The sequence below is a fragment of the Homo sapiens genome, chromosome 2 (genome assembly GCF_000001405.40).
Source record: "Homo sapiens chromosome 2, GRCh38.p14 Primary Assembly".
Lineage (NCBI taxonomy): Eukaryota > Metazoa > Chordata > Mammalia > Primates > Hominidae > Homo > Homo sapiens.
Window position 1 is genome coordinate 70,302,773 of NC_000002.12, and position 19,316 is coordinate 70,322,088.

General features: G+C 45.6%; 1 annotated feature.

Annotated features, from left to right (window-relative positions):
• Positions 1,288-1,417: a silencer, noted in NCBI's record as "silent region_11612". NCBI's record gives its function as "represses an Ori minimal core promoter by ATAC-STARR-seq in GM12878 lymphoblastoid cells {active_cell/tissue: GM12878}" and the evidence as "EXISTENCE:reporter gene assay evidence [ECO:0000049][PMID:35858748]".

Below are 19,316 nucleotides of genomic sequence, written 5' to 3' on the forward strand. Positions count from 1 at the left end.
TATGTATGTTATTATCCAATAAGTACTCCTTTTCTGTCTGGCTTTTTTAGCATATTGCTGAAAAATACTTAGCCTAATGCTTTCGAGATTGAGCTGTGTTGTTGGTTCTTTTTTGCTGCTGAGTAGTATTCTATTGAATGGACATACCACATTTGTCGTTGTTGTTTTTTGAGACAGGGTCTTACTCTGTCACCCAGGCTGGAGTGCAGTGATGTGGTCTCGGCTCATGCAGCCTCCACCTCCCTGGTTCAAGTGATTCTCATGCCTCAGCCTCCCGAGTAGCTGGGATTACAGGCATGTGCCACCACGTCTGGCTAATTTTTTTTTTTTTTTTGTAGACACGGGGTTTCACCATGTTAGCCAAGCTGGTCTCCAACTCCTGAGCTCAAGGGATCCACACACCTCGGCCTCCCAAAGTGCTGAGATTGCAGGCATGAGGCATCGGTCCCGGCCCACATTTGTTGATCCATTCCCCTGCTGATGGGTGTTTGGGTCTTTTCCACTTAGTAGCTATTATGAATAAAGTGGTGACTATGAACATCCTTGACCATTTTTTTTTTCTTTTGGAGATGGGATCTTGCTATGTTGTCCAGGCTGGTCTCAAACTCCAGGCCTCAAGCTATCCTCCTGCCTCTGCCTATCAAAGGGATTACGGGTATGCACCACCACCCAGTCCTGGACCAAGTCTTTTGTAGACACAGATTTTCTTTTCTTTTGGGTAAATATCTAGAAATGGGATTGTTGGATCACAGGGTAGATGTATGTTTATGCATTTATTTCTCATAAAAAATGAACTTCAGAGACAAAGCAGGGGCTACAGATCATCAATGAAGCAGTCATCAATGAAGCACTTACATGCCAGCAACATGAAACTGTTTCTGAATTCCTGGAGCAGTTTTTTTTTTGGAATGCCTCACTGTCCCACCCATAACAGTACTGTCGTGTGCATTCATTTATCGAATACATTAGCTAGGGGTGCGGGTCCAGAGGGGAGTGTCAGTGGAGAAGGGAAACACACTCCGTGGAGAAGGGGAAGGGGCAGTGTTGGAAGAGGTGTGCTGGAGGAGGTGGTCCAGGCTGGCAAGGAGGGAGTGAGCCATCCGGGTTCCTCAGGAAAGTTTTCTTAGAGGAGATAAGGCTTGAATTGAGGCTTTGAATTGAATTGAAATGAGTGGGTGTTTGCTTGGCATATGGGGCTGAAGAGAAAGCCATGTCAGGCATGGGGGTGCAAGGTGGGGGTGGGGGAGGAACAAAGGAATGGGGCCGTCATTAGAATTTAACGATTTTCTGCCATTGGGCGCTAGATGGCAGGAGAACTCTAGTTTAGGGCAGTGGGGAGTTTGACTCAACCCAAGCTTCTTTGAAGAAAGCTATGTTTTGATTGGGCACGGTGGCTCACGCCTGTAATCCCAGCACTTTGGGGAGCTGAGGCAGGTGGATCACCTGAGGTCAGGAGTTCAGGAGTTTGAGACCAGCCTGGCCAACATGGTGAAACCCCATCTCTACTAAAAGCACAAAAATTAGCCGGGCGTGGTGGCAGGCACTTGTAGTCTTGGCTACTTTGGGAGGCTGAGACAGGAGAATCGCTTGAATCCGGGAGGTAGAGGTTGCAGCGAGCTGAGATCACGTCACTGCACTCCAGCTTGGGCAACAAAGTGAGACTCTGTCTCAAAAAAAATAAAATAAAAAATAAAAGCAAGCAAGCAAGCAAGCAAGCAAGCAAGCAAGCAACCAAACAAGCTGTGTTCTTCCAGCGCCAGGCCCTCTCTAGTGAGTACAAGTGTGAGTATCTCCCCATAAATCACAGTTCAGGGTCTTGAGACAGCCTGTTCACTTCAAGCTCGACTACAAGTGGCTCCCAGCAGCAGCTGGAATCAGGGCGACACCAACTATTAAATAATGTGCCAGACAGTGTTTTAAGTGCCTTCCACGGGATGATCTCATTTAATTTCCATGACAAAGCACCCTATGAGGTGGGTACTTTACTCTCCTCTCTTCTCTCACTCAGGGCAGAAAACTGAGGCCTAGGGAGATGAAACCACTTGCCAGAGATTGCACATTTATAAACTGGTGGAGCTGGAATTCCAATCCTGATGGGCTAACTCCAGACTAGAAAAAGTAGGAAATCTCTATTGTGACTGACTTAATGTTTATACTTATGTCCCATATTCCACAGAAAGTTCTTTCTTTCTTCTTTATAGCACAATCTGAAACTACTCACTTCTCCCTCTTATTCCTAAAATGCCAGACAGAACCTCTCCAACAGCTCCTACTTGTAGGAGCCAAGTTAATCATGCTAAAATGAGTTTAAAAGTCCTTGAGTAATGCAGCCTTGTTAGTTTCTATACACAAATTGAATGGTACTTTTAGTATTTACGAAAAATGATTCTTGGCTGGGGCGGTGGCTCACATCTGTAATTCCAGCACATTGGGAGGCCGAGGCGGGCAGATCACTTGGGGCTGGGAGCTTGAGACCAGCCTGGCCAACGTGGTGAAACCCCCATCTCTACTAAAAATATAAAAACATTAGCTGGGCATAGCGGCACACACCTGCAATCACAGCTACTCAGAGGCTGAGGTGGGAGAATCACTTGCACTCAGGAGGTGGAGGTTGCAGTGAGCTGAGATGGTGCCACTGCACTCCAGCATGGGTGACAGAGCGAGACTCTCCCTCAAAAAAAAAAAACAAAAAAACAAAAAAACAGAAAAAAAAAAACCCAGAAAAAAAAAAAAGAAAAATGATTCCTGACTTCCAGTTAGTTGGCTGTGGAAATCCCATGGGAGTCATGGTGGAAGCAGAGTTTAATCTCATGTTAGGAAGCTCAGATACCTGTCTGTGCTATTACCCTGGTGCTTTGAGGGTGGGAAATGAGGTTTCAGGATTATCTGGCTCAAGCCTGGGCTGACTCACTGGAAACAAGTCACAGCTCTTTCAGGATCCTGGGTAGTCAGTTCTGTCATCTTGATTCCTTTCCCACCTCTCCTGCATGCCATCCTGTGAACGCAGGCCCCGCAGTGCCAGAGACAAATGGTGGCACAAGAGGGACTAGGGCTCTTTCCTATTTTCTCATGTTCAGGATGTGGGTGAGATAAATGGGGGCCAGGAGGCCCGGGATGAGGGGAGGAAGTGAATTTTGCTAGATGCTGCTACCTTTTCTAACCCTCAGGTTAGCAATGGGTGGTAGCCAGAAACCCAGCTATGGCCAACCTTGGTTAAAGACTTCCAGATGAAACTTTATCAATCAAACTGATAATTTAGAAAGCAATTCTCATGTTATCACTTGTTTTTAAATTAATGCCAACAAGAATGAGATTGAAGTGTTATCACTCTCTAGTCATGACACTCCTTGGTCGATTATGATGCCTTGCTGGGGAAAAGAAAACTCACAAGCAAAGAACACTGTCTTCTGCAGAATGAAGAATTCAGTCAACTTTTTGGAAGTCACAAGTACTTTTTAAAAATATATTCAATTGCTGGCCGGGCATGATGACTCACGCCTGTATTCCCAGCACTTTGGGAGGCCAAGGCGGGTGGATCACTTGAGGCCAGGAGTTCGAGACCAGCCTGGCCAACATGGCGAAACCCCGCCTCTACTAAGAATACAAAAATTAGCTGGGCGTGGTGGCGAATGCCTGTAATACCAGGTACTCAGGAGGCTGAGACATGAGAATCACTTGAACCCGAGAGGCAGAGATTGCAGTGAACCGAGATCACGCCACTGCACTCCAGCCTGTGCGATAGAGACCTTGTCTCAGGTTAAAAAAAAAAAAAAAATATATATATATGTACACACACACACACCCCCCCACACAATTGCTTCAGAGCTCTCTGCCAAAAAAATACATATATATTCAAAACTTTGGTTGAATAATTATTTTATATATGTATATTATTAAATATAAAATAAAGCAAATGTTTTATGATTATAAATATCCAATTATGTAAATATCTCTTGAATCTATTCACATCTCTCTAGCTTACTGTTATCACCCTAAAGCCACTATTATTATTATTATTGCCTGGCCTACTACAGTTGATCCTGTTTAAATCTTCCTATTGTGGCTAGGTGGTGGCTCATGCCTATAATCCCAGAACTCTGGGAGGCCGAGGCAGATGGATCACTTGAAGCCAGGATTTTGAGACTGGCCTGACCAACATGGTGTAACCCCGTCTCTACTAAAAATACAAAAATTAGCCAGGCACGGTGGCATGGGACTGTAATCCCAACTACTCAGGAGGCTGAGGCAGGAGAATCGCTTAAACCTGGGAGGCAGAGGTTGCAGTGAGCTGAGATTGCTCCACTGCACTCCAGCCTGGGTGACAGAGCAAAATTCCATCTCAAAAAAAAAAAAAATCTTCTTATGGAGTGGTCATTTACTTGCTGGCTTGTTGACTGTGTATATATATATATATATATATATATTTTTTTTTTAAATTAAATTAAATTAAATTAAATTAAATTTTTTTGAGATAGAGTCTCGCTCTGTTGCCCAGTCTGGAGTGCAGTGGCGAGATCTTGGCTCACTGCAACCTCCACCTCCCGGGTTCAAGCAACTCTCTGCCCCAGCCTCCCGAGTAGCTGGGATCACAGGCACGCACCACCTGCCTGGCTAATTTTTTGTATTTTTAGTAGAGACTGGGTTTCACCATGTTGGCCAGGCTGGTCTTGAACTCCTGACCTTGTGATCCACCCGCCTCGGCCTCCCAAAGTGCTGGGATTACAGGCTTGCACCACTGAGCCCGGCCTGTCGAATATATTTATATAGTCTTGTAATGGCTCTTTGTCAGTTATATGTGTTACAATATTTTCTCCTACTTTGTGGACGTTTCAGTTTTTAAACAGTATTAATGAAAGAAGTCCTTAATTTAAATGTAATCCTATTTATATTTTTTCCCTTTATGGTTAATTCTTTTTGTGTTTTTTTAAAAAAAATCATTCTGGCTGGGCAGGATGGCTCATAGCTGCAATCCTAGCACTTTGGGAGGCCGAGGAGGGAGGATCACTTGAGGCCAGGAATTTGAGACCAACCTGGGCAATATAGGGAGATCCTGTCTGAACAAAAAATAAAAAATTTAGCCGGGCATGGTGGTGCATATCTGTCGTCTCAGCTACTCAGGAGGCTGAGGTGGGAAGATTGCTTGAGCCCAGGAGATGGAGGCTCCAGTGAGCTATGATTGTGCCCCAGCACTCCAGCCTGGGTGACAAAGTGAGACCCTGTCTCAAAAAACAAAATACAAGTTTCTTAACTCTAAGATTTGAAAGTATTCTTGAGATGTTAAAAAATTATATTTGGCCGGGTGCGATGGCTCATGCCTGTAATCTTAGCACTTTGGGAGGCCGAGGTGGGCGGATTACCTGAGTTTAGGAGTTTGAGACTAGCCTGGCCAAGGAGGCGAAACCCTGTCTCTACTAAAAATACAAAAATTAGCTGGGCATGGTGGCGGGCGCCTGTAATCCCAGCTACTTGAGAGGCTGAGGCAGGAGAATTGCTTGAACCCGGGAGGTGGAGGTTGCAGTGAGCCGAGATCGCGCCATTGCACTCCAGCCTGGGTGACAGAGTGAGACTCTGTCTCAAAAACAAAACAAAACAAAAAAACAAAAAAAAAAGCTGGCTGGGCGCGGTGGCTCATGCCTGTTAATCCCAGCACTTTGGGAGGCTGAGGTGGGTAGATCACCTGAGGTCAGGAGTTCGAGACCAACCTGGCTAATATGGTGAAACCCCATCTCTACTAAAATACAAAAATTAGCCAGATGTGGTGGCTGGTGCCTGTAATCCCAGCTACTTGGGAGGCTGAGGCAGGCGAATTGCTTGAACCTGGGAGACGGAGGTTTCAGCGAGCTGAGCTTGTGCCACTGCACTCCAGCCTGGGCGATAGAGCAAGGCTCCATCTCAAAAAAACAAAACACAAACAAACAAACAAAAATTATATTTATTTATTTTTATTCAGCCTTTCTTCTAGTTATTTGCATTTTATGGTTATAAGTGTTCCTTTTAGTACTGCTTTAGCTTTACACTGCCACAAGTTTTGACATGTAGTTTTTTAGTTCAAATGTTTTCTAATTTCCATATGAATTATTTGACCCATGGGATTTTTTGAAATACACACACACACATACAGACACACACACACACATATATACACACACACACATATATATTTTTTGAGATAGGGTCTGGCTTTTCTCCCAGGCTGGGGTGTACTGGCACAATCTCAGCTCACTGCAGCCTCTGCCTCCTGGGCTCAAGCGATCCTCCCACCCCAGCCTCCCAAGTAGTTGGGACTACAGGCACATGCCACCACAGTTGGCTAATTTTTGTATTTCTTTTGGTAGAGATGGGGTCTTGCCATGTTGTCCTGGCTGGTCTCTTCCTGGGCTCACGTGATCCTCCCACCTTGGCCTCCCAAAGTGCTGGAATTACAGGCGCGAGCTATTGTGCCAGACCAAAATATATTTCTTAATTTCTAAACATATGGGTATTTTTAGGTAACTTTTTATCAATTGCAGGCGTGATTGCATTATGGTCAGTAAACGCACTCTATAATTTCAATCTTTTGATTAGTGGGAACTTGCTATATGGAATCAAAAAGACTTTTCTTATGGCATAATTTTTTTTTTTTTTGAGACGGAGTCTCACTCTGTTGCCCAGGCTGGAGTGCAGTGGGTGATCTCATCTCACCGCAACCTCTGCCTCCCTGGTTTAAGCACTTCTCCTGCCTCAGCCTCCTGAGTAGCTGGGACTACAGGTGTGCACCACCATGCTCAGCTAATTTTTGTATTTTTAGTAGAGATGGGGTTTCACTATGTTGGTCAGGTTGGTCTCTAACTCCTAACCTTGTGATCTGTCCGCCTCTGCCTCCCAAAGTGCTGGGATTATAGGTGTGAGCCACCATGCCTGGCCGGCATAATGTTTTTTTTTAAAAAGACTTCTCTGATTGCCTCCTTCCCACTCTGTATGCTCCTCTGTCATTTTCTTGGCCCTCTGTACTTGTCTGTGATGATGCCCATCACTATTGTTCATTACTTGTCCCATGTTTATTTTCTTTGCTAGATTAAAAACTCTATGAGGAGAGGGACCACGTCTGTTTTGGTCATTGCTTTTCACCAATTCTTTGCCTAGTGTCTGGCACATACTAACCCCTCATTAATTTCATTATACAGGTAATCAGATTACTAGAAATATTTGGAAACCAGAGAAAAGCAACAATGAATAGATAAAAATGTAAAAATCCATAATACTACCCTACAACTTTATTTATTTATGTACTTTGATTGATTGATTGATTGATTTTTTTATACGGAGCCTCACTCTGTTGTCCTGGCTGTAGTGCAGTGGGGCGATCTTGGCTCACTGCATCCTCCACCTCCTGGGTTCAAGCAATTCTCCTGCCTCAGCTTCCCTAGTAGCTGGGATTATAGGCATGTGCCACCATACCTGGCTACCCTACTACTTCAAATACCACTGTTAAATTTTTGATTTCTTTCTTTTGTTGAAACATGACAAATGTTTGTTTCTCAGATATCATCTGAAGGTAAGCATTCTAGAGCTCATATGGCAGCTCCATGTCTCTTTTTTCTAGGTGTTCTGTCATCTCCAGGGTCACACTTTCATCTATATGGTCTTGATTTATTTCTTTCCAGTCTTTTTTTTTCTATATGGGTTTTTAAAAACATTGTTGTAGGCCAGGCGTGGTGGCTCACGCCTGTAATCCCAGCACTTTGGGAGGCCGAGGCGGGCGGATCATGAGGTCGGGAGATTGAGACCATCCTGGCCAACGTGGTGAAACCCCATCTCTAGTAAAATACAGAAAATTAGCCGGGCGTGGTGGCACGCGCTTGTAGTCCCAGCTACTCGGGAGGTTAAGGCAGGGGAATTGCTTGAACCCGGGAGGCGGAGGTTGCAGTGAGCCAAGATCGCACCACTGCACTCCAGCCTGGTGACAGGGCAAGACTCCGTCTCAAAAAATAAATAAATGAAAATTGTAGTAATAAAATATATATACTTTGGTATCTTGCTTTTACAATTATATTACAAATGTTTCCATGTCATATACAAATAAGAGGAAACATTGCATACAGCCAGTGACCAATGTTAAGCAGAAAAGGACTGAAATTATAATTCAAGTGTAGAGATTTGAGTAAGTCCTGGGATGGCGGTTGATAGAATCCCCCAGGTAGGCTGAGCAATCCAGGAGCAAAGGGGTCATGTCTGCCTTTGTAGAGTCCCAGGGAGTTGGCCAGGCTCCAGAGGGGTGATGTCTGCAGGGGGTCTAGGCAGAGAGGGCCTTAGGCAGTCCACAGGGTTCTCCAAGGCTCAGTGTGAGTAGGAGCTGCCCTAGAGTAGCATGAAACTAGATAGGGCCACGGACAGCCTGACGGTATCTCTTTCCCATGGCCCAGAATGGGAACTGCCTAATGATCTCCAGGCAGCTGAGAGGAGCCCAGAGCCCAGAAGTACCTGAGAGAACTGGATCTGGAGAAATATTGTCATTGGGAAGAGGAATGACTCTGAGGCAGCTGGTGTGAACCAAGAATGGAGACCTTTTCCCTCACAGATGCCAGTGTGGACAGATGATCCTACCCACCTTCCCACCAGATGAAACTCGAGGATGAACTCTCAAATTGATTGAGATTATGTCCTTGCTACCCAGCAGAAGGGAGCTCACATTAGAAATTCTTTCCCCTCTTTTTGGTTAGTTTTCAAACTTAACAACTAGGTGTGCAGAGGGGTTGGGGGGGCAACTCCAATATAAAGAATGGATGATGTTATTTTAACTATCTCGATTAATTTTGTAAGTTTACATTTCAAAGATTTATTGTAGATAGACTATCTACTGTGCCATCCAGGATGGCAGCCACTTAACTACATGTTGTTACTTAAATTTAAATGAAAAGTAAAGGCAGACATGGCGGCTCATGCCTATAATCGTAGCGCTTTGGGAGGCTGAAGTGAGAGGATCCATTGAGCTTGGGAGTTTAAGACCAGCCTGGGCAACATAGTGAGACCCCATCTGTATTTTAAATATAAAAAGTTTTTGGCTGGGTGCAATGGCTTATGACTGTAATCCCAGCACTTTGGGAGGCTGAGGTGGGTGGATCACTTGAGGTCAGGAGTTCGAGACCAGCCTGGCCAACATGGTGAAACCCTGTCTCTACTGAAAATACAAAAATTAGGCAGGTATGGTGGTGCTTGCCTGTAAACCCAGCTATTCAGGAGGCTGAGGCAGGAGAATTGTTGGAAACCAGGAGGTGGAGGTTGTAGTGAACTGAGATTGCACCACTGCACTCCAGCCTGGGTGACAGAGCAAGACTCCATTTCAAAAAAAAAAAAAAAAAAAAGGGGGCCGGGCACAATGGCTCACGCATGTAATCCCAGCATTTTGGGAGGCCGAGGTGGGCGGATCATGAAGTCAGGAGTTTGAGACCAGCCTGGCCAATATGGTGAAACCCTGTCTCTTAAAAATACAAAAATTGGCCAGGCGTGGTGCACACGCCTGTGGTCCCAGCTACTCGGGAGGCTGAGGCAGAAGAATCGCTTGAATCCGGGAGGCGGAGGTTGCAGTGAGCTGAGATCGTGCTATTGCACTCCAGCCTGGGTGACAGAGTGAGACTCCATCTCAAAAAATAAAATAAAATAAAATAAAAATTTTAATATAACAAAATTAAAGAATTCAGCTTAGTTACACTAGCCACATTTTAAATGCTCACTAGGATATGTGGCATGTGGCTACTATATGTAGATACATAGCATTTCCATAATTGCAGAAAGTTCTATTGGCCAGTATAGCTCTAGAACAACAAGGTTGTTTCAATCAACACAAAAAAATTGAAATTGGGTTATGAATGACATACCAATTCTAGGACAGTCTCAGCTTCCATTGTACATCTCAGTTTTGCTTTATTTACACAGAATCAAGACAACCTTGATTTTACCAGGTAAGTAGTTGCATATGGTGGCCTCTTCCCACCACTTCCTTTTTCAGTCTTGAGATACTCTTTACGAAGCAGAAGTGGCAGGAGAAGCTTCAGTCTAAGCCTGGACTAAAGCAAGTTAACCTGGTAGCACAAGAAAATTCCCCAATGATGTCTTCTAGGCTAAAACATGGCATATAATATACTTGAGCAGGTGTTTTTTGAAGGGCAGATAAAAAAGAATTTTAAAACATTTAAAAAATTAAAATTCTCAGATATCTTGTGGAATCCTGAATGCATCTCTATGGAGCCCCAGAGTGATGTGGGGCACAGCTTGAAAACTCTTTAAAAAAATAATTTGCCGGGTGTGGTGGCTCATGCCTGTAATCCCAGCACTTTGGGAGGCCGTGGAGGGCAGATCACGAGGTCAAGAGTTTGAGACCAGACTGACCAACATGATAAGACTCCGTCTCTACTAAAAATACAAACAAATTAGGGCCGGGCGCAGTGGCTCATGCCTGTAATCCCAGCACTTTGGGAGGCCAAGGCGGGCGGATCAGGAGGTCAGGAGTTCGAGACCAGCCTGGACAACATGGTAAAACCCCATCTCTACTAAAAATACAAAAATTAGCTGGGTGTGGTGTCACATGCTTGTAATCCCAGCTACTCTGGTGGATGAGGCAAGATAATTGCTTAAAAAACCTGAGAGGCAGAAGTTTCAGTGAGCCGAGATCTCCCCACTGCACTCCAGCCTGGGCGACAGAGCAAGACTCCATCTCTGGGGAAAAAAAAAAAAATTAACCGGGCATGGTGGCACATGCCTGTAATCCTAGCTACTTGGGAGGCCGAGGCAGGAGAATTGCTTGAACCTGGGAGGTGGAGGTTGCAGTGAGCCATGATGGCGCCGTTGTACTCCAGCCTGGGTGACAGAGTGAGACTCCATCTCAAAATAAATAAATAAAATAGAAAATACTTATTTTGGCTGGGTGCGGTGGCTCACGCCTGTCATCCCAGCACTTTGGGAGGCTGAGGCAAGTGAATCACGAGGTTAGGAGTTTGAGACCAGCCTAGCCAACATGGTGAAACCTCATCTCTACTAAAATTACAAAAAATTAGCTGGGCGTAGTGGCAGGTACCTATAATCCCAGCTACTTGGGAGGCTGAGGCAGGAGAATCGCTTGAACCCGGGCGGCGGAGGTTGCAGTGAGCTGAGATCGTGCCACTGCACTCCAGCCTGGGTGACAGAGTGAGACTCTGCCTCAAAAAAAAAAAAAAAAAAAAAAAGAAAATATTTATTTTTAGTAGAAACAAGGTCTTCCTATGCTGCCCATGTTGGCCTTAGGCTCCTGGCCTCAAGAGATCCTCTTGCCTTGATCTCCCAAAATGCTGAGATTGAGGCAGGAAAATAGGGTCTGGAGGCTGGGAACATAAGGCTGATTCAGACTTCAGCTATGAGAAGAAATATTCTCTACATAGGGCATACACCAAGTAAATGACTTTGTAACTACTTCATCCTCTTCATTTACATCGGGTGTACCCCAAGTAGAGGGTATTTAAACTCACGAAAACTCTGTAACAGGACCCTTGGGTCCCTATGCTCAGGTCTGCTCCTACACTGTGGAGTGTACTTTTATTTTCAATAAATCCCTTCATTCCTTCCTTGTTTTGTTTGTGTGCTTTGTCCAATTCTTTGTTCAAGATGCCAAGAACCTGGACACCCTCCACTGTTAAAAAGATTATAGGCGTAAGCCACCGTGCCAGGCCTGAGTTTGAGAATTCTTGATCCAAATCAACCTTCTCATGAAACTGGGCCCTAGAAAGACATGGGTTTCATGTCATCACAGTGGGTGTCAGAAATTAGAATACACATGGATATCTCTGACTGTCATCCCAGTGTGTTTTCTATACACCTCTGAAATGACATGGCTTGAATACCCCGGCCTCTGTCCTCCCCATCCTCTGGGTCACATTCTCTTGAAGCCACTTCATGATAACACTCCTTGTTGCAAGGTAGGCCATGGAGCTGAGTGCAAGTGGGGGCTGAGTGGGGCCTCACTTTTCTCATCTGGGATTTTACCTTCAAAGATAATAACAGTAGCTTCTGTTTACTGAGCACCCATTGTGCACCAGATATACCAGGCACATAAAGATAGGACTTCTAACCCTCTCCACAGCTTTGCAGATGTTACTGTTATCCTTATTTGGCAGACAAGTGTCAAAACCACATTCAGACTTAGTAAGAAGACACTTTAATTCAAAAGGATTGTTGCAGCCGGACATGGTGCTGTACAACTGCAGTGTCAGCTACTCTGGAGGGCTATTTGGGAAGCAGGAGGATCACTTGAGCTCAGGAATTCTAGTTCAGCTTGGACAACACAGCCGGATCCCATCTTTAAAAAAAGAAGATTGCTGCAATAGGGGAGGGGACTATTGCAATAGAGGGAGAAGGACTGTTGCATTAGGGGGAGGGTACAATTGAGTAGGAGGAGGGGAGTATCGCACTGGGGTAGGGGACTGTTGCAATGGGGGAGAGAGAATATTGTAATAGTGGAGGGGACTAATGCAGTGGGGGAAGGGACTACGTCAGTAGGGAGCACCTTGTGACCTTAACATCTGCAAAGATCTTGAGAGTTAGACAAAGAAGAGAAGAAGAGTTTTTTCTTTTTCTTTTTTTTTTTTTTTTTTTTGAGACAGAGTCTTACTTTGTCACCCAGGTTGGAGTGCAGCAGTGTGATCTCTGCTCACTGCAACCTCTGCCTCCCGGGTTCAAGTGATTCTCATATCTCAGCCTCCCGAGTAGCTGGGATTACAGGCATGTGCCACCACACCCATCTACATTTTTTATTTTTAGTAGAGATGGGGTTTTGCCACGTTGGCCAGGCTGGCTGAGACCTCAGGTGACCTCCTGACCTCAAGTGATCTGCCCTCCTCAGCCTCCCAAAGTACTGGGATTACAAATGTGAGCCACTGTGCCTGGCCAAGAGTTTTTTTAAAGGAGTAAAAAAGCTAGAAAAGAACCAGGTGTTGGGAAGCAGGAGAAGAGGATGATGTGACCAATGAGATAGTAGATCAGAGAATGTTTTACTGTGAGGCTAGCATATTTTCTGGGAGGAAACTCTCAAGAGTGTTGTGTGGCTCAGGCTCAGGGTGGCCAAACCTCAGAGGTCTGGAGAGAGGAGGAAAGCTCTCAACCCAAAGTTTGGTTAACCGACATCTTGTTCCTATTGATCAATGGGAGCAAGCAATTCAGGTAATTATTTATAAGGTAAAGAATGGGAATTTGGAATCTGTGTCTGGCCTGGTCATAAGTAAACAAGGGAGGCATGTGTGAGTTTTCTCTAAGTCATATGGAGAAGTATGAGTCCTTGCAGTAAGCGTTTTCCAGAACACAAAGAGTTAGGGATTTCTTAACCTTCACTGTTCTTCAGAATCACTGGGCTCAGGTAAAATTCAACATTGTCAGGAGAAAGTGCTTTTAGAGGTCAAGTACATTGTTTAAGGTCACACTGCTAAGACACAGTGGAAAAGGGACTCAAATGAGATCTGATGGACTCCAAAACTCACATCTTCTCCCCTGCTCCTGCTGACCTTGCAAGTCTAAAATTGTATTGTCAATCAGAGCATTTCTCACAGCATCTGGTGGAGTGCTGGTCAGATGTACCTGGTAAATACTTATTGAGTTGAACTGTCCCATTTTTCCAGGGTGGTGAGGGTAGGGTGAGAATGTGAGAATGTGTGGGTTGGTTCATAGCTATTATATCTTTTTTTTTTTTTTTGAGATAGGGTCTTGCTCTGTTGCCAAGGCTAGAGTGCAGTGGCATAATCATGTCTTACTGCAACCTCCCACCTCAGCCTCTCAAGTAAGTGGGACCACAGGCATGCGCCATCATGCCCAGCTAAGTTTCGTATTTTTTTTAGAGACAAGGTCTTGCTCTGTTACCCAGGTTGGTCTCGAACTCCTGGGCTCAAGCAATCTGCCCACTTTTGCCTCTTAAAGTGCTATATGCATGGGTGTAAATGTGAAATTATATTTCCTACTGTGGATAATGATCAAAAGAGTTTGGAAAGTCCTGAGCTGAAGTACTGTGTAGGTTGCAGATCTAGTTTCTGTTGAAAACATTGGTTTACAGATTCAATCTTGGGCTGAGCATCAAACTCTTCTGTGTTCTTAGCCTACTTCTGCCAACTTGTCCTTCAGCTAACTCAGTGATAGAGCCACTCCCTTTTCTCTTCCTTCCTTCTCCCTTTTATAAATTGTGACAATACTATTAACTCTCAGGGGTGTGGTGGCAGGCAGTTAGTGTCTCTGAGGTATGAGGTAAATAATTATTATTGTTCCTGGGAATCCTGTATTTCCCTTTCTCCCCCTCTTATTACTGTGGTTGTTATAGCAAAACAACAATGGTGATAATAATAATAATTTGTGGAACCTGTTGTGGTCCAGGCCTTGGGAGCAGAAGTGCTGAGGAGCCCCTTAAGGAAGGTCTCTTGTGGGGCTGGGCTCTGTTCCACCACAGGAGGCGACCTCAGGCCTGTCACACACACTCAACCCAAAGGGCTCTGCTTCTCCTTACAGTAAAAGTCCATTCAGGGAACTTTGGTTGAAATCTTTGGATCTGGGTTGGTCTTAGGTATTCCTTTCTCTGGGATTCAATTTCTTTATCTGTAAAATGAGCTTGACTGGATTAAACCATCTCTCTGGTTCCTTACCAAAGAGGCCAAGAGTCCCTTCTTAATCAGGCAACATCCCTGGCTCCAAATTGTGAAGAGTAAGAAGAGAGGAGAGATCCATTCTGAGGCATTGTCAAGACTGGGTGGGGTGGTGGGATTTGAGGAGATATTGTCAAAGTTGTGGACAGTTAGAGGGCTGAATGTGGACACTAGGCTCCTGAAAGGACAAGGGATTAGGACAGAAGTTTTAAGAGGGGATCCAGAGTTGCCAAAGACTTATTTCATCTACTGTAAATACTGAATACTTTACCCGTGTAAACACCATGCCACACAGATATTCAAAATATATCCAAGCTCAACAAGAAGAGTGATACTAATGGCTGGACCTAGGTTCTCTTGGTGATATTAGAACATCAGTGGCACTTTACATAAAGTCAGACATCTCAGTTCTGACAGGACAAGCATCTGGCCCAGGACCACTGTGGGTCATTTAATCCTGGAGAAATGAAAAGGTTGCCGTCAACTTTTCTTCTTTTTTTTGGCAGGGTCTTACTTAGGCTGGAGGGCAGTGGCAGGATCACAGCTCAAGTGATCCTTTCACCTCGGCCTCCTGAGTAGCTGGGACTACAGTTGTGCTCCACCATGCCCAGCTAATATTTTACTTTCTGTAGAGACGGGGTCTTACTGTGTTGCCTAGGCTGATCTCGAAATCCTGAGCTCAAGCAATCCTTCCACTTTGGCCCCACCAAAGTGCTGGGATTACAGGCGTGAGCTACCAGCCCCAGCTTGCCTTCAACCTTTAAAGACAAGATCTGTACACTTATTTTTGTCATTAAGTCAATGTAACTTAGTGGGGTGTGGGGAGGGTGATGGTGGGCTGAGAAGGGATAGTTGCCATTTAGGTGGTCTGTGCTGAGAGGGGGTGAGAGATGCTTCAGGGAATGAGGGAGGGGCTGTCATTATACCAGCAGCACCGCTGGGCTTGGGACCTCTAGCCATGGCTTGTGGCTCCTGGTCAGGAACCCAAGAGAGGCAAGACCATCAGGTTCCAGCTGAACTTTTAGCAGACATGCGGGGTGGCTCCACCGAACACCAAAGGAGGTGGGACGCATTTCTTCTCCTGACTTGAGGTTATGCTGGCCATGACCAGAAAGAACATTAGTGGGATTTTCTCTCTTCCCTGTTAGAAGCATGGAGAGTAGCTTAGCAGAGGGCCAGCTGAGCACATTCTTAATGGAAGGGCAGAGGGGAGGAGTAAATGCCCTTGGTCTACCTGTGCTAGTGGAACCCCTACATGGGAAGACCTCAAGCCACCCAGGGCAGAACTGTGTGTTCTTCAGAGGAGCGAGACACAGGGCATGGCCAAGGTTGGGTTTCTGCATCCTTTGTGCACAGGAAGAATAATGCTTAAATGTATTCAACGGGCAGATATGAAGGAAACAAGATACTGTATCTGGACAACTGCAAAGGGGTGAGCTGTGGGTGGGAGGTGTGGGAAAAGGAAGGAACCAGCGAGTTGGTATCCAGAGAGTTGCCTGGAGTGCAGGCAGGTTGTATGTACATGAACCTCAAGTATATTTTAGCACCAGATTCTTCATACCTGGTTGTCCCCATCACTACTCCACTGAAGCTGCCATCTCCTGAGGGCACCCTGGGCCTCTGCAACCTGGAGAGGTGGACAGCATTTGGAGTGGTCATCCCTTGGGACAGTGGAGATAAACAAAGACCAGCTGAATGAGAAAAGCAAAGGCTATTTATTGTGAACTTGCTATAGCAAGGGAGTCAGCCACCATCACTTGTGTTTAGTGAAGGCTCAAAGGCAAGCAGAGTGGGAAAGCTTCACAGTGGAAGAAAGCGAAGGCATCAGGTGTGCTGGTGCAAGGCAGTTAGCATGGAGAAGCTGTAGGGGCCATGAAGGCAAAGCGAATGTGATTAATCCTCTGTGATTCATTAGAGGGGCATATTTGGCTTTCTCTGGTTTGTTTTAAATTGGATGTGGGGGCTGGGCATGGTGGCTTATGCCTGTAATCCCAGCACTTTGGGAGGCCGAGGCCGGTGGATCGCTTGAGTCCAGGAGTTTGAGACCAGACTGGCCAACATGGTGAAAACCTGTCTCTACTAAAAATGCAAAAACTAGCCAGGTGTGGTGGCAGGCACCTGTATTCTCAGCTGTTAGGGTGGCTGAGGCAGGAGAATCACTTGAACCTGGGAGGCGGTGGTTGCAGTGAGCCAGGATCGTGCCACTGCACTCCAGCCTGGCCAACAGAGTGAGACTCCATCTAAAAAATAATAAATAAAAAAAATTAAATAAATTGGATGTGGGGACAAAAATGAGGGAAGCTGCATCCTGGATTGTCACTTAGAGACAGCAGGCAGGCTTGCTGCAAGTCTGATTTGTAGTGGTCTGGTCTCCTAGCTTGTTTATTGTGGATGAAGGGGTTGGTTTCCCGGCGGGCTGCTGCCGGTTGCAGGGTGGCATCTCATCTCCCATATGTGCTATTCCATTTTTGGACCTTGTCAACCTACACTAGGTACTTCCCTGGTTGCTTCATGCCCTCTCAGTACCGCACACTCAATGGAGCGAGTGTGAGTGGCGGTTGTTGATGGAAAGTTTGAGGCAACAAGAGAAGTCATACAGCATCACGGCACAGCAAACAGCTTTAACTTGAACATAGGATTGTGTGGTTCAGAAAGGCCTCAGCGATTCCTGCTTCTGTGGAGAAGAACATTCTACTCACTATGAGGTTTGGCCTTTCTTTCCTCCACCCTTATCGTATCTTCCTTTCTGGATCCAGTCTCCCAGGCTTCTTTGTGTGTTTTCCTTTCACCTGTCCAGCCCAAGTCCTAGAAGCTTCACTTTTATATTCAAGTTAAGTAAAAGAACTCATTTCTCCTCAGGCAGAACTCTGTCTCTATATCTTAGAATAATACACATGTACACACAAATACACATATTTCTCTCTCTGCTACACAAATGTTTTAAAAATTAGTCTGCCTGATAAGCACATAGGCATTGGCTGTATTAGTCTCTGTGTTTACTTTCCTGTGTGCTCGAAAATATTTCAAAATAAAAAATTAAAAGGAAAATGAATGGAGAAGACTGGGGATGTCATGATCAATGCTGGACATAGGGGAAATAGCTCCGTTGGTACACAGAGTCTCATTTATTTATTTACAAACGTCTGGCTTACGATGTGCCGGGCATTATTCTAGGTGCTTTGGAAATATGTCTTCAAATCCTCATTCTAATCCTATGGTATTATTATTATTGTCTGCATTTTACAGATGAGGAAACAGAAAAGTTAAGCACCTTACACAAGGTCATGTGTTTGCAAGTAGTAAAGCCAGGATTCAAACCCAGGCTGTCTGGCTCCAGAGGCCATACCTGTAACCACCATGCCTTCCTGCTTCTTGACAAGTGTCCCTTGTAGGCCAGTGGGATTCAAGGGCAGTGGGGACTCAGGGGGCAGTAACAAAGCAGCAAGCTCTTAGTAACTTTTTTTTTTTTTTTTTGAGACAGGGCACACTCTGTCACCCAGGCTGGAGTGCAGTGGCACGATCTAGGCTCACTGCAACCTCCACCTCCCGGGTTCAAGTGATTCTCATGCCTCAGCCTCCCTAGTAGCAGGGATTACAGGCAACTGCCACCATGTCCGGCTAATTTTTTGTTTTGTTTTGTTTTTTGAGATGGGGTCTTGCTCTGTCGCCCAGGCTGGAGTGCCGTGGCGCAGTCTCGGCTCAGTGCAAGCTCTGCCTCCCGGGTTCACGCCATTCTCCTGCCTCAGCCTCCTGAGTAGCTGGGACTACAGGCGCCCGCCACCACGCCCACCTACTTTTTTGTATTTTTAGTAGAGATGGGGTTTCACTGTGGTCAGGATGGTCTCGATCTCCTGACCTCGTGATCTGCCCGCCTCGGCCTCCCGAAGTGCTGGGATTACAGGTGTGAGCCACCGCGCCTGGCCAATTTTTGTATTTTTAGTAGAGACGAGGTTTCACCATGTTGGCTAGGCTGGTCTCGAACTCCCGTCCTCAAGTGATCTGCCTGCCTCAGCCTGCAAAGTGCTGGGATTACAGGCGTGAGCCACCATGCCCCATCTCTTAGTAGTTTTTGAGGAGCAGTTTAGAGTGTCAGCAAAGTTCTTCACAGATCCAAGAGTTGTTAGCTGATGTAATCCGGCTGGATGAGGGAGGTAGAGAGGAAGGCAAGAGGTGGCGGGTGGCTGAGGGCTGCTTGCGTAACATCTTGACTGTGGCAGCAGACACAGTGGAGGTTGTGAGATTTGTTATGGATGTTAAGAAGGGCTAAAGAGCCACTAGGTGATCATAGCTCACTGTAGGCTGGGTTCAGTGGCTCATCTCTGTAATCCTCAGCACTTTGGGAGGTTGAGGCAGAAGGATCACTTGAGCCCAGGAGCTTGAGGCTGCAGTGAGCTATGATTGTGCCACTGCACTGAAGCCTGGGCAACAGAGTGAGACCCTGTCTCTTAAAAAAAAAAAAAAAAGCTCACGATAACCTTAAACTCCTGGGCTCAAGTGATCCTCCAGGCACAGCCTCCCTAGTAGCTAGGACTACAGACACATACCACTATGCTCAGCTAATTTTTAATTTTTTTGTAGAGACAGGGTCTCACCTCGTTGTCCAGGCTTGCATTGCATTGTTCTTTTTTCTTTTTTTCTTTTTTTTTTTTTTTGAGACAGAGTCTTGTTCTGTCACCCAGGCTGGAGAGCAGT